This window comes from Homo sapiens, chromosome 1 (assembly GCF_000001405.40).
Source record: "Homo sapiens chromosome 1, GRCh38.p14 Primary Assembly".
Lineage (NCBI taxonomy): Eukaryota > Metazoa > Chordata > Mammalia > Primates > Hominidae > Homo > Homo sapiens.
The window spans coordinates 105,985,818-106,002,603 of NC_000001.11; the positions used below are offsets into that span (position 1 = coordinate 105,985,818).

The following is a 16,786-nucleotide window of genomic DNA, read 5'->3' on the forward strand; positions in this document are numbered from 1 at the left end:
GAGCTATACGTTGAACACACATGAACATATACCTGGGAACAATAGACACTGAAGACTACTAGTGGGGAAGGAAGGAGAGTATATGTTGAAATATTACCTATTGGGTACTCTAGGCTCACGACTTGGGTCCAATATACTCATGTAATAATCCTACACATGTACTCCCTCTATTTAAAATAACAGCTGAAATTAAAAAAAAAATAAAGTTCTAGGTTCCCTTCAGTGCATCTACCTGTGTTTCCAATGAGACTGGGGAGCTGTGGACTTGTTTCTCTTCAGAAATGCTGGTCTGTGAAGATGTAGTTATCTTAAACTAGTGGGGGAAACAAAACTCATATTGAAGTTCCCACTTAGATGTCTCTGTTCCTCTAGGTTAAGTAGGGCTATGTGTGTGCACACACATTAGTGTCTACACAGACATGAATTTGAGGATAAAGTCCTCTGCCTCTACTTATTTGATGTAGATCTCATTTCTTTGCACTTTATGAAGTATCACAGACAGAAGAAAAGTGAAGGTGGAGATATCCTGCATGTGAGAGTTCAATTTCTCATCTTGACATTAAAACAAAAAACCTATGTTTTTCAAATACAAATGTGAAGTACCTTATGTTATAATAAGCCAATTTCTTTTCTACAGTGGAATACAATAGCCCCATGTTCAGTTTTCTGGTTTAAAATATGCTCAAGCAAAAATTTACTGTAAGCATCAATCTGAAATGAGATTTAAAAGAAGTCCCTCTAACCAGCCTTCTCAAATACACTCATAGTCAGTGGAGACATCTATGTCTCATTTCTCTGAAGTGCAAATTTAAAAGTATATGGTGGTTAAGTCTATATTCATTTGAAATCAGCATTTTCTCAATCACTCTTATTGTTTATTTCTATTTTTGGTGCATTATTATTTATTCATCCTATGAATAATATTGATATCTAACATGTGCTACAAATGCTTAATGATGTCTCCATATTGAGTTATGTTTATTCATATCTTCTGCATAGTCCCTCTGGGTTGGAAATCTTCTGGTTAGCTGAGATATTTTGATCTTGATTTTATGTCTCTTTTTTTATCATTTATTTTAAGTTCAGGGGTACATGTGCAGGTTTGTTATATAGGTAAATGTTTGTCTTGGGCATTTGTTGTACAAATTATTTCATCACTCAGGTATTAAGCCCAGTACCCATTAGTTATTTTTTCTGATCCTCCCCCTCCTCCCACCGTGTACCCTCCAAAAGGCCCTAGTGTGTGTTATCTCCCTCTATGTGTCCCTGTGTTCTCCTCATTTAGCTCCCATTTATTTTCTCAATAATATTTGAATCTCCACAATTAATTATAAGCTATTATTTGTTTACTTTGTTTTGCTTTTTGCATATACCAGATGTCTGATGGATATTTTCTAAATATTTCCAAATGTAACTCATTTATACAATTTTTCACATATAGTTTATTCATGTTCTTAGCTAGTTTTCATTCTGAGGGTTATTCTTTATGTGTATTTTGGGGGAATATTGTGTGCTATGTAGGCCTCACAGCATTATTTTAGATCTATGTAAAATAATAAATCAAAATAAATAATATATTATGTCTTAGTCACAATTTCTCTTCTCTCTTGAATGAATAGTTCCTTTGACAAAAATAAAAAAACATGAAAAGATAGAGAAGTAGTGAAGGGAAGTGAAATAATCAGTGAGTTCTATATGTAGAAGTTGTCTTGATAAGGTTTTAAAGACTGAAAATCAGGTATACCAAAATGATAAAGAATTATACTGTGCATGGCTTCATCAAATTCTTCACATGACATAAAGAGTATTATATTTTTATGACCAGAAATGTGTCAGAAAGTGCATCTAATGCTAGAGAAAAAGTCAACTGGCACTTCATCAGGCCAATTGATGAATACAGTTGCTTCTATAAGTGAATTATGGTTGTAAGAGGTATAAAATTTTCTAAAAAAAATCTTTCCAGTGAATTAGAAAGCTCTTCAAAGTGTCTATTATTTGACCTGGGTCTCAAAATACAAAGAAGTATTCATTAACATCAGTAAAGGAATTGACCTGTCTAGAGTAATATTAGCCAACCTTCACTGAGCACTTACCATGTGCTACACACCATTCTAAGAACTTTATTTATAAAAACTTACTTGCTTCTCAAGACACTATAAAGTATGGAATTGTATTATCTGAATATTTCCTGAATAACAAAATGTTGAATTAACTTGCCTTAACTAGAATGTGGTAAAGTACAAAATCAAAAAGTGCATTATGTCATTGTGGAACGGTAAGCACCTTGGAATGGTTAAGGTACACAGAAATACAGATTATAACATTTTTGATGTTGGAACTGTATATTATATTTTACACAGAGCCTACCACTGCACATTGAACATAGCAGATGCTTAATAAACTTAAATTAAGCTGAAATTAATAATTATATTTATTCCTATTTATTAAGAATTATATTTTAATAGTACTTTTAACAGGAAGGCAAAAAGAACAGAAAAGTATTTTAAATGGCAGTAGATACAATATCAGTAAATTCTTAAGATAGGCAGCATTATTCATCAAAATGTTAAGCTATAAGCTCAGCAGTCTACATGGCTGCCATAATAATTATAAATCCAGCTCTGTGACTTACTACATGTGTGGCTTTGCAGAAGTTTCTTTATTTTCACTCTTCTTCAGCTCTCTTATCTCTAAAATAGAACAGTAATTATACTTAACTCAGGGGTTTGGTGAGAATTAATTAATTAGCATGCATACAGTGTTTGTAGCAATGCATAGAACATTCAAAATGCTCAATAAATGTTAGTTATGAAGACAATGATGGATATGACGGTTCTGAAGATATGATGAAAACATTAAAACATAAACATTGATTTTTACCTTTATACACTACAGCTAAATAACTTTCTGTGACACATTTCAGTCTGAAATCAGAAATTCTAGTTTCATAGTTGCACTTTCCTTTTACTATTCACCAGTATTAATCTCATTTCATTTCAGATATATTTCTTTGTCTATCATTATTTTTGTAATAATCACACACTACATGTGTCTAGTCTCCACTTAAAATTCAAGCTCATGAAAGCTGGGGGCTATGCCTTATATTCCTATTGCAACCACAACTGCAAACATGTCTAATAGGTGCTTAATAATAAACAATCAAGAAATAGGAATAACCCCAGCATTTGTCTGACTGCTTAATCATTTCAGATCATCTCAGGTGATGAAATAGGATGCAAATAAATGAACTTAGTGATTTAAACAGTATGACTTTACATAAGCATCCAGAGAAAAACTTGTTTGAATTTGATATATCCTGAAAAATCAGGCCAACTGATACTTATTTCAAAATAGCACAAAATTTAAGCCCTCAGTGAACAGCATTAAAGAAATGTTCATTTTGATTTTGCACAGGAAAGAAAGGGCATAACTTAGAAACAAAATCTGGAGTTGAGGTTAATCGTGACTTGAGAGGAGATAGCTGTTTCATAAGTAAATGCCTATTTCCTTCTAATTCATTTTATCTATTCTGGATGTCGATGTGGAAGCTGTGAGTTTTAAGTCAGGTCAAAAAAAGAAGAAGAAAGAAAAAAAGATATTTCTTAAAAGAAAGAATCTAGGCCACATTTGGCTTCAAAAGGCTTCTTTGCTCATCTATTTGATTGTTGTCCTAAATTTAAAAAGTCAAATTTCAAATAAAATAGTTTTTCTCTGTGTCAGTTTTTGGACTACAAATGAGAACACAAAATAATGATGTTTTTGGACTTATGTTTTTAAATTTCTAGCATATCTCTAGTGTTTATTGCACACAAACAAAGCTTAAAACCATATATCCAACTGTGGTTCAACATTTTTGACTTAGAAACACTGAATTTATAATGTATTTATTCAACAAACATTTATTGAATCTTTATTAAAATTTTCCACTCTACATAAACTTGAGAGTGGAGCTAAAATCTATTTCATCTTATTAAATCTATAATACCTTAGTGTAGCAGAAAGGGATTCTAATCATATATGTGCTGAATAAATCAATAAATTAATTAAATATGCCATATAGTATTTTCATTGCTGTTAGGAAAGAATTGAAGTCTTTACACATAAAATACGTTGTAGAAGATAAGTGAAAAAGTCTTACATCTACTTAGCACTATTTACTTGAGCAAAACTTCTACTAATTATGTACAAAAAGTCAAAGATATTTTAGAGTAAAAAACAGAAAATAAAACGGACGCTGCCCTCTAAGAGTGTACAATTTTCTCAAAGAGATAAAAGAGATTAAAATTGTATTTTACATAACAATATAAGAAAGATGATAAAAATTCATGCAATAATAAATGCACAACAAATAAAATATTTATGAATAAAAGATTTTTTACAGGCTTCAGAACCATATGAAAGCATCATGTCAACAAAAAGCTCTTGTTTTGACATTTCTGTGTAATGTAACAAAATCTCAATGAAACTGGAGCAAGAAATTAACTAGCCTGATTAATATTAAGGAAAAGCCAAGAGTTAATCAGGATTTAGGCACAGATGAATCTAAAGACTTAAATTTCATTGTCAATCCCTGTCTCTGGATTGATTAGACAGATTTTGCTACAAGTTAGGAAGTTGGCTGTAACATACTCACACACACACACACACACACCCCTTTCTTTCCAAGCATACATAAACAAGAACATACATACCTAATTTATATTTAGCATATTAGGTAATAGTGGAATTGCTTGGCTTCATATTCCATGTATATTATTTTCCTAGCTATGAGACCCTCGCCAGGTTTGTGTGTTTTTTTTTTTTTTGTTTTGTTTTTGTTTTGTTTTGTTTGTTTTGTTTTGAGATGGGTTCTCACTCTGCTGCTCAGGCTAGAGCGCAATGGTGTGATCACAGCTCACTGCAACCTCCGCCTCGCGGGTTCCAGCAATTCTCCTGCCTCAGTCTCCCAAGTAGCTGAGATTACAGGCATCTGCCACCACACCCAGCTAATTTTTGTATTTTTAGTAGAGATGGGGTTTCACCATGTTAGCCAGGCTGGTCTCGAACTCATGACCTCAGGTGATCCACCCGCCTCAGTCTCCCAAAGTGCTGGGATTACAGGTGTGAGCCACTGTGCCTGGTCTTATTTTTATTTTTATTTTTTAAATCCTATCTGAGGCTTTGATTTCTACCTCAGAATCCTCTGAAGGATTAAATAAGATGATTCAACTTGAAAGGCTGCTATCAGGCTTGACAAATAGTAGGTATTCAGTATAATTGTTGCTATTAATATAATTATTATTATGATAATTTTACATGCAATAAAAATGCCCTCTCCAATGCCCAAATATAGGCAACTGTTTCATCTTCTGCAGAATCCTAAGTTGATGTCATGGGGCAGTGGTTCTCTGAATCTAGGATGCTCAATATGATTTCTCGAAATCAGGTATGTTTGTAATTTATCATGGTCCAGAAATTCTGAGCTAAACAATAAATTTAACCACATGTAACACCTCCAACATACGATCATAGTGAAAGGCCAGCAAAAACAGCAACAAACAAAAGGGCAGGATAATTATAGTATCAAATGTAACTTGACAGTGAATAAAGAGACACAGAACACAATGTTTGGGGTTCTGTAGTGCATCCCATGTCTACCTGATGTGGGGAATTGACTACTCCCAGACTTGGCAATGGTGTGCACTCTGGATTCCATATATGGTTGCCTCTTTTTCTATTCTCTGAAACAACCTATTTTGCACAATTTATCAATAGCCATACCTGAAGAGAGGAGAAACGGGACCTATAACTCATTAGCAGGGCTTGTCTTTTTAAGAACCGGGGATTTCTGTAGGAGCAAGCTATATATTAGGCATAGGTTGTCAGGCTGAAAAAAAATCTGGAAGTATAACTCCCTTAAAACTCAGAAACATGCCTTTCATTTTAATTACTAGATACTATGGAAACAACAAATACAAATGTCGCCACTTCGTAATTGGCCATGTTCTGAAATCTACTTTTTCTGATAGTAATATAGCCACTTCAGCCTTTTAAAAATTAAATGTTTTTAAGTTATATTTTTACATATTTTAACTTTAACCTTCTTTTATAATTAACGTGAACTTATTTTAGACAGCACATAGTTGTGTCTTCATTTTTATAATTCATCCCTCCAAAATTTGTCATATCCCTCTCTACTGCCTCTCTCCACCCATTCTGATCACTGGCAAGCACTGATAAGCTTTCAGTTGCTTTAAATTAGTTCGTGTTTTCTGTAATTTCATATAAATAGAATCATACAATATGTACTCTATCTGACGTCTTCAACTTAGCATAATTATTTTGAGATTTACCCACTTTGTTGCCTACTTGAATAGTTCATTCCTTTTTATTGCTGGGTATCCCATTGTATGCATATGCCACAATTTATGTATCCATTCGCTTCTTAACATACATTTGGGTTGCTTTCAGGTTTTGGCTATTACAAATAAAGTTGCTATGAACATTCACATACAAGTCTTTGGATGGACATCTGCTTTATCTTCTCTCTGGAAAACATTAAAGAGTGGAAAAATTGAATAATAGAGTTGGAATGTGTTTAACTTTTTAAAAACGGTCAACATGTTTACTATTCCACCACAGCAGTGTAATGAGACTTTCAGTTGGTCCACATCCTCAGCAGTGCTTGCCATTTTTAGTGTTTCTACTTTTAGAGTTTCTTATAGGTTTGCAGTAATATTTTGTTTTGGTGTTATAGTTTGCATATCCCTCACAGCTAATAATGTGGAGCATATTTTAGTGTTCTTATGTGCCATCCATTTATCTTCTTTAAAATTGTTCTCCGTTTAATTTTGTTTTCCATTTGCATATCTTCTTGTTAATTTTGTACTATTTGTTACTAGGGTAGTGGCTATAATTAACAAGTAAAGCCAACTGGCAGTGGAGTTTTCTCTGTTGGAACATTTTGAACAATGAATTTAATTTTTGAATACATGTATAAGCATAAGACTATCCAAGTAATTTCTTTTTCGGTGAACTTTGCAGTGGGTATCTTTCCAGGAATTTTACTTATTGTGTCTAAGGTGGTGAGTATATTTACATAAAGTACTTTTTGTTTATATAGCATTCTACATATTTTTAAGATATAGTAAGGTAAGTAAGTAATTTATGTTTTTACTCTTTATTCATGATGACTCTGGCTAAAGACATCAATTTTACTAATCTCAACGATATAGCTTTTATTTTTACTAATTTTCTCTATTTTATATATTTTAATTCATTAATTTTAACTCTAATCTGTTTTATTTCTTTCTTAGTTTGGATTAATTTGTTAAATTTTTTTAATATTTAAAGGTCAAAGCTGAGATTATTTGTTTCTTCTCTTCTATTTATTTTTACTGTAAAATGACAAATTATAGTTGTATATAGTTATGGGAAAAAGTGATGTTATGATTTATGAATACAATAAAGAATAATTATGCTGTTAATATATCATCACCTCAAATACTTATAACTGTTTATAGTAAGAACATTTGAAATTTACTCTCAACAATTTTGAAATAGACAATTACAACTCTGTGCAAGATCTCAAAATAAATTTATTCTTCCTATTGAACTGAAGCTTTGTAATCTGTAACCGTTATCTTCTCATTTCCTCCAGCCTCCAGCCTCTGCTTCCTATCTATGAGGTTGATTGTTTTAGATTCTACACACAAATGAGAACATGTAACATCTGTCTTTCTGAGGATGGCTTATTTCACTTAGCATAGTGTTCTCCAATTCTAAACATGTTCCAAATGACAATTTTTTTCTTTTTCATGGCTAAATAATATCCCATTGTGTATAAGGACCACATTTTATTTATCCATTTATCTGTTGATAGACACTTCAATCATTTACTTAAAGGAATACTCAACATTTGCATCAAATGTATAAAAGTGCTGCAAAAAAACATGGGGGTACAGACATTTCTAATACATGTGTTTGTGTTATTTATTTAACTTTAAACACTGCTTAAGCCGCACCTCTCAAATTTGATAAGTTGTATATTTTTACTCAATTAAAATACTTTTGATTTTTAAGATTTTCTTTGACCCACAGTTATTCAGAATTGTGTTTTTTGTTTGTAAATACATGAGAATATTTCAGAAATACTCCAAGTATTTATTTGAAATTTAATTTCAGTTTTGTCAGAGTATATATTTTATGATTTGCAATTTTAAAAATTGAGACTTTTTTGCTTTACCTTATATATTGGGATGTATGTTTGTATATATGTGTGTATTTAAATTTTTACACATTAAAATTTGCCATGTTGACTTTTTTAAAGGTGCAATTCAGTAGGGCTAAGAACATTCACACTGATGTGCAACCAATGATAAGATGTTTCTCAGTTTGCAGAACTGAAGCTCTAAACCAATTAAACAATTAAACAATTCCTCATTCACACCCATCTCCCAACTACTATTCTACTTTCTGTCTCTATGAATTTGACTACTCCGGATATCTCATATAAGTTAAGTCATATAATAGTTGTCATTTTATGACTGGCTTATTTCAGTTAGTATAATGTCCTCAAGTTTTATCCATGTTGTAGCTGTAGCATGGGTCAGCATTTCCTTTCTTTTGAAGTATGAATAATATTCCATTGCATGTATATACCATAATTTGTGTGTCTATTCATTAATCAGTGTATACTTGCATTACTTCCAAATTTGGCTACTACGAATCATGCTACTATCAACTGTGAGATGTGTCTACATCTACATCTATCTATCTTTGTGTGTGTGTGTGTGTGTGTGTATTACTATGCAGTATTAGAGACAAAAAAATATGACTTTCTCTTCTGATCTTGCTTGCTCAACCTAACATTTACTTTATTATAATATATAATTTTAACTTTGACTTTTTCTAAGACTACCTTGGCCTAACCTACCAGTTTGTTCTTTTACTAAACAATGTTCTTCTCATCTTTGGAGCACCTTTATCAATGAGATGACAAACTTCAAGGAAATTAAACTCAGGTATTGCTTTTTACCGGCTTTTCTTGGAAGGCAATTAGCAAGGATTTTGATTGAGGGGCTTGATTACTGTCTCAAAAGAATAATACCACTAGGTTACTTACTAAGTGCTTTAGAAGATATCTCAAAGAAGCATGCTTCTTTCCATATTTTTTGCCTCTCTACTCTTCAATTGATTAAAAAAATTGAATTTAGCTATATAAACACCATGATAATTACATTCATTTATGCAAGCTGCTTAGCATTGTGCCTAATTATCATAAGGCACAATAAGGATTAGTCACATTATTAAATATGCTAGATAATTTTGCTATATATTTTATTTGATTGAAACCCTAGATCCTACATGTGTGTGTTCAGATACCCTATTACTTTTTTCAGGAAACACTATCAAATCACAACTCAGAAAAAAAGAAAGTTCATAGTTTCCTTCTGTTTGTCTTTTTCTGGTTTCCTGTCACTCTGAAGTTAATGGATACCATGACCTTTTATTTATATAGATGGCCCTAGCATGCTGAGGGTATGTGTGGGTGAAAGGTCCTCCATAATGATACTCTTTGGACTTTTCTTATCCACTCTTTTTCTAGGCTGTGGAGTTTCTCAGGACCACAGCATAGGCCATCTTCTCTTCATTCAGGGAGAGATTAGAGGGCTTTCATCTTTACACATGATTTTATGTTCCATCTATACAATAAAGATTCTAAATTTATATCTCCTGTCCAGACTGCTTGTATTAGAGCTCACTAGAGGAACAGAACCAATAGGGTATTTATAGATATATAAGAGGGGATTTATTATAGGAATTGGCTCAGGCAATCAGACAAGCCGAGAAGTCCCATGAAATTCTATCTTCCAGTTGGAGAACAGGGAAGGCTGGTGATGTAATTCAGTTCAAGGCCCAGGAGATGCAGTGGTGTAACTCTCAGTCTGAGGCCAAAGGTGGGAGAACCAGGGAGCCTGCTGATGTAATTTCTGGAGTCTGAATGCCTAAAAACCTGAAAATCTGATTTCTAAGGGCAGTATATGAACGAGCCAGCTCCCAGAGAGTGAATTCACATTTCCCCCACTTTTTTGTTCTATCATGGCCATTAGTGGATTAAATGATACCTGCCCACTCTGGTAAGGAATGATCTTCTTTACTCAGCTTATAAATACAAATGTTCGTTTCTTTCAGAAAGTCCCTTACAGAAACACTTAGATACAATGTTTTACAAGCTATCTGGGTATCCCTTAACACAGTTAAGTTCACACATCAAATTAACCATCAAACTACTTCTCTTTCCTTCTATTTCTTGACTGTGATGAATCAACATCTCTATTTTGAAGACAAGCAGTCATTTACAAATTAATGTGTTCAAATCTGAACTTGTAATATTCCACATGTATCCCTCAACCCATAGTTGTCATTATCTCATTAAGGGGTACTTCATATTTCACTCACTATACAGGTATTAATTTAGTGCCTTTTATGTGAAAGACATTGTGTTATGCACTAAATGATAGCTGTAAGCAAAACAAAACTCTGCCTTTATGGGACTTAACATCCCCATATACCTGATGCACAATTCATACAGTTGGGACACCTCTTTCCCATTAGCCCTCTACATCTTACCTCCAATATAAATAGCAAATTAGTCTACTTATCTTGTTCTTCACTACTACTATATAGTGCTTCTTCACTACTACTATATATAGTTATTGATGATGCCACCTCAAATTTATTAAAGTCTCTCACTTTACTTGTAACACGTTCCCTACCCTAGCCTTTATGGTTCTGTAAATTTTATCCCTATGAGAAAAAGAAAATAGAAAAGAAGAAAGAAAGGATACAATGAAAGATCTTATCTTTTTCCTCTTTCTATGATAACCTACATAATTTTCTAATCATGATTTTTTCCTAATATTTTCTTGCTATCATGAAATGTTAATTTGTGGACTCCTCCTACTGTTTATTATTATTTTTTTAAAAAATGAAGTATTATATTTAGGGTCTAGACTAAACTCCCCTAACAAGTATACTCCAAATAACTGAGTTTAATAAGATAGAAATTTGTCTCACATGGGAAAGACCAGAGATAAGCCTTCCATGGCTGTGGGCAACCCTGTCATCCTTGACATGAGGCTTTAATACCTGAATTAATGGTGGCTGTTCCACTTCTGCCTTTCTAGCAGGAAGACAGAAATAGAAAGTGCAGAGAAGAAATTTTAATTTTTAAATGAGATCAACTTGAAGTTGCACAAACATCCCATTGGGAACTTAGCCACATGGCTCTATCTATCTACAAAAATATATTGGAAAATGCATCTTTCCTTGTGCAGCCATCTTGTCCTAAAACATGTTGGAGAAATGGGTTGATATCTTTTCACCAAAAAAAGAAAGACACAATGAATACTGAAAATGAATCAGAAGTTTCTGTCCCAATTAGATCTTTTTCAAATTTTGCTTGGTTAAAACTATAAATTAACTCTGTCTTTTTATGTATGTATGTATGTATATATGTATGTATGTATGTATGTATGTATGTATTTATTTATTTATTTTTTGAGATGGAGTTTCACTCTTGTTGCCCAGGCTGGAGTGCAGTGGTGTGATCTCAGTTCACTGCAGCCTCTGCCCCTCTGGTTCAAGGTATTCACCTGCTTCAGCCTCCTGAGTAGCTGGGATTACAGGCATCCATCACCAGGCCCTGCTACTTTTTTGTATTTTTAGTAGAGATAGGGTTTCACCGTGTTGGCCAGGCTGATCTTGAACTCCTGACCTCAGGTGATCCACCTGCCTCGGCTTCCGAAAGTGCTGTGATTACAGGCGTGAGCCACCATTCCTGGCCTTTGTCTTTTCTTTCTAATTTTCCTTTCGTCTTTTAAAATGAAGCATAATGTATTAATCTGTCAATGTGTATGACTCAGTGAATATTTCAGAAAGTACTCTTTTGACATAAAATTTTAATCCAGTGATTCATAATTTTATAAGTGAAATATGACACATTTTAAATTCTAAAAATAGTAGGTTATATATTAAATGTAAGATCTATATCAACCATTACTAGGAAGCTGACAAAAATAGTATCTGTCAATAAGAAAATAATGACCGGTATTTTTCCATATTTAATCTAATTTAACGTTAAAAATTTTTATTAAGAGTTAGCCATATTGATTTCCAAGTAAAAATGATAGTGGGAAGCGTAGTTCTAGATTCACTACACAGCATGCATACTTAAATAACTCAAGCATGAAAAATAAGTAAATGAAAGGAAATATCTCCACTTCTACTAATCAAACAAATAAAAAATACTTCAACCTCATGCCATGAACTTTAAGTAGCAAAAGTCCAAGGAAAAGATAAGAAAGCTTCTTTATAACTTTGTTCTCACACTGCTACAAATAAATACCTGAGACTGGGTAATTTATAAGGAAGAGCTTTAATTGCCACACAATTCTGCAGGCTGTACAAGAAGCATGGTGGCATCAGCTTCTGGGGAGGCCTCAGGAAGCTTACAATCATGGTGGAAGGTGAAGGAGAAGCAGGCATGTCTTATATGGCTGGAACAAGACGAAGATAGAGAAAGGGAAGGTGCTACACATTTTTAAACAACCAGACTTGTGATAACTCACTCTCATCACAACACCACCAAGAAGGATGGTGTTAAACCATGAGAAACAACCCCCATGATCCAATCGCCTTCCAGCAGGCTCACCTCCAACATTCAGGATTACAATTAGACATGAGATTTGGGCAAGGACACACATCCAAACCATATCAGCTTCTAACATAGAGTAGTGAAAATTTTAATTCACTAACCACTTACCAGAACTGTGATTATATAAAGTAGAATTAAGCCAGGAAGGATATTTAACAAAATCTCAAGAGAGAAGACAAAGATTGTGTGCAATTAGCTCTAGCCAAGCTGTTTTCCTCTCTATTAATAGTTTTCATTTAGAGGACAACGTAAATCTTAAAACTGTGCCTAAGAACTGAAGACAATCAGGTCTCAAATGAAGCAGAAAGTGCAAGAAGAAAAAGACATCCATAGACCAAAACCAACAGATGATCTGAATAGAAGTCTCCATAGACATAACAAAAACATGTGACCTAAAAGAGGCAAAAGCATAAGACAATAATAAATATTTTAAAGAAAATGGGCAAAACCCTGCTTCTAAAAAAATATGAAAATTAGCCAGGCGTGGTGGCACACACTTGTAGTCCCAGCTACTCGGGAGGCTGAGGCAGGAGGAGAATTGCTTGAACCCAAGAGGCGGAAGTTGTGGTGAGCTGAGATCACGCCACTGCACTCCAGCCTGGGTGACAGAGTGAGACTCTGTCTAAAAAAAAAAAAAACAAAAACAAAAGGAATTAAAAAAATGAAAAGGATATTTAGAACTTAGAAAAGTCTGGCATGGAAGAATATATAATTTAAGAAATAGGAGAACATTCTGTAGTGTTAATTTCATAACATAGAAGAACTTAATATGATTGTAAATTTAATAAGAAAGCGATAGGTGAGAGACCATACATTCAAACAACGGAATGAGATTAAAATAGAAATAGCAAAACTGAAGTAACAAGTTAATGACAAGAATATCAATGTCCTGAGACGGGCGGATCACGAGGTCAGGAGATCGAGACCATCCTGGCTAACACGGTGAAACTGCGTCTCTACTAAAAATACAAAAAATTAGCCGGGCGTGGTGGTGGCTGCCTGCAGTCCCAGCTACTCCGGAGGCTGAGGCAGGAGAATGGCGTGAACCTGGGAGGCGAAGCTTGCAGTGAGCGGAGATCCCGCCACTGCCCTCCAGCCTGGGCGACAAACCGAGACTCTGTCTCAAAAAAAGGAATCTCGATGTCAACTAAAAAACAAATAATAAGCTAAAACAAAGGCAAAAGACAAAAGTGACATTTTACGTTTTACTTGATACAGGAAAAGTCTTGAATTAATAACTAAGTCAAAGGGAAAAATCACAAAATGATCATATCAATTCACAAAATGCTGTATCTTATAGAAGACAGGCAAAAGCATCCAATGAAATAATAATTGGAATCCTCAATAGATAGAACATAAATGTATTTAACTAAATTATCGGTGGATGTTTTCTTGTAGTGAAGAAAATATGTGTAAATTAAAAGAACACAGAAAACTTCAGAAAAAAAAAGAACATGATTGACATTAATAAATCTTGTAAATTATTAGCTTAATTTTTTTAAAATAAGATATACTCAAGTGTCCACATGAGAGGAGATAGGGCTAAAAATCAGCCTAGTCTTAAAGTTAACTACATAATATTCAAAGCCTACAATATTTAGATACAAAAAAAATTCTAAATTAAGAATTTTCAATTTTAATAAGAGAAACTGAAGTCTTATATGCTCACCATTTTTTTTACAAAGTGTTTTTAATCTAATAGTCAAGAAGAGTAATAAAAGAGTTTACATTGTTAAAGAACTATATTATAACATCCTACATAATAAAATATGTATCTTTGGCTATAGTATTTAATTTTACTTTTAAAAATGCTTTATTTGTATATTGCCTGTGTGGTTATAATTAATATAAACTATTCATTCTTTTAAATCTAAAACAAACAAAAACTTTGGGAATTTTGAAAAGTAGAATGAATAATCATAGTGATTATTCTCTTCAAACCTTTCAAATTTGTAAGAAAATCCTATGTTTAATAAGCTAATTTATTAAATATTAGTGTAATGAGCATTTTGTTTAATTGAATTGTGACTTCGCCATGCCTTATGGTATTAACAGTCTGGCTCCAGGTCTACATGGAACCTGATGTCTGCCCCATATTCATTCCCTTTAAAAATGTTCAACACTCCTCCTTAAGGTGATGTTTGATAATGAGAAATTTAGCTTTAGCTCAGAAACTCTTGTAGGCTTTTTTAAAAATGAAATATTTGTGTTTTGCATGTTCTTTCCTTATATTTTATATATTTTTTTCTAGATTTGGCAGAATACTACATATCTTGAATCACAAACTCTCAACCCCAAACTGAGAATGTGCCTTCTTTACTCCTTAGCTGTCCTCCTCTCTAAATGTGGAAAGGAGATGCTCTTCATCCTGCACTAAGACATATGGAGATTGCTTCTCCTGTTCACCTATTCAATTTAAAAAGTGTATCAGAAAACTTAAAAATAACACTTAAGTAGAAGCTCAGCAATATGAATTAGACCACCCTAAATAGAGGTGAGAAGCGGACAACAGCACTCACTTCAGCCACAACAGGCACTAAATTAATGGCCACAAGATGAGCTGAACGTCAGAACAGCTATTGGGACTGAATCTCCTGATAAAATATCTTAATTGAAAGAATTTATCTGGTGGTAGGGTAGAACTGAGGCTTCAGATTATGATCAGTAACTACATTTTATAGTAGCTGCTATTGTTTGAATGTGTCTCCTTAGAGTTATGTGTCGGAAATTCAATCAAAATTGTGCTTATATTAAGATGTGAGACCTTTTTGCTTGCTCTTGTGAATAGATTAATGTTATTACGGGGTTGGCTTTCTCATCAAGGGAGTAGTTTCCTTGTAAAAAGGGAGAGTTCCCTTCCCCCCAGTCTTGCCCTCTCTTGACCCTTTCGTCATAAGATGATGCAGCAAGAAGACTCTTGACAGATGCCAGCCCCTCGGTCACGGATGTCCCAGCCCCCTTAACTGTAAGCCAATGCATTTCCGTTCATTATAAACTACCTAATGTGTAGTATTCTGTTACAGCAGCGCAATACAGACTAAGACAGAAGCCAAGGAAAAATTAATACAGTACATTTTGTCAAAAATACTTAGCTGAAAACATTTTGAGTGCCATAGTGCAAAACACAGTCAGGAAAGACATTAATGGTAGATATCCCATGAAAACATTATGCTTCTATTTTGAAATTACTGTCCATATTCACTAGCCATAACTACTCAAATAAAATACTGGAACCAACATTGCTGTTAGAAAATCTTTGCCAGTGAAAAAAAAAATGGTTTTCTTTGAAGGCTGCATTTGGTCTATTGGGAACAGTACCAAATAAAACGTGTATTATTTGGAAGATGTGCTTTAGTGAAATACTATTCAAGATTTATTTTTGATTTGTTTGTTACTTGTTTTAAAGAGATTATTATTGATAGCATGGTCAAAAAGCTTTTCTTAAATATATCTGGGTTTGTGTACTGGATCTACTCCATATGATATTTAATATTAAACAAATAATCTAACCACTGTTTCTCTCTTCTCTACAAAGAAATGCATTTAACAACGACTTTACTTTTGTGGTCATAAGAAGTTATTATAGGTTATAGCTACTGTGAACTAAGCTACAGTTTACAATACTAAATTTATTCCAACAATGGATATTTTAGAGCAACTTCCACTCTAGGCACTTAACTCATTTAATACAATAACTGTTATTACTAAAAAAGTTCTATGAAATCTACAGTCTCTCTCTCTCTCTCTCTCTCTCTCTCTCTCTCTCTGTCTCACACACACACACACACACACACACACACACATTTCTATGTAACGCTAATAACCCCAGCCTCAGAGAAGGTCATGGACAGTTGTTAACCAACTTTGATAGACTTTTTTGATCCAGAAACATGAAATTAACTTTGCTAGTTAAATCCTTACATATTTGGCTGTCTATAATAATTAGTACCACCACACTTTCTGATGAAGTTACTCTGAGTTAAAAATCTCAAAGAGAATATATAACATGGTTGTTATTTTGTTTTATTTTCTTGTATTTATAAATAGAATAGCATCGTTATTATGCACAATGGGCATGGAAATACACAC

At 33.4% G+C, this 16,786-nt stretch overlaps 1 long non-coding RNA gene across 1 annotated transcript in view; it reads right to left on the reverse strand.

Moving 5' to 3' along the window:
• Positions 1–16,786, reverse strand: part of LINC01677 (long intergenic non-protein coding RNA 1677) — a 100,630-nt gene that overhangs the window by 58,194 nt on the left and 25,650 nt on the right. The window contains exons 4-5 of the long non-coding RNA NR_146609.1: positions 6,349–6,527; positions 2,633–2,690 (exon numbers count right to left, since the gene is read on the reverse strand). This is a non-coding gene — a long non-coding RNA (long intergenic non-protein coding RNA 1677). The remainder of the gene's footprint in view (positions 1–2,632; positions 2,691–6,348; positions 6,528–16,786) is intronic.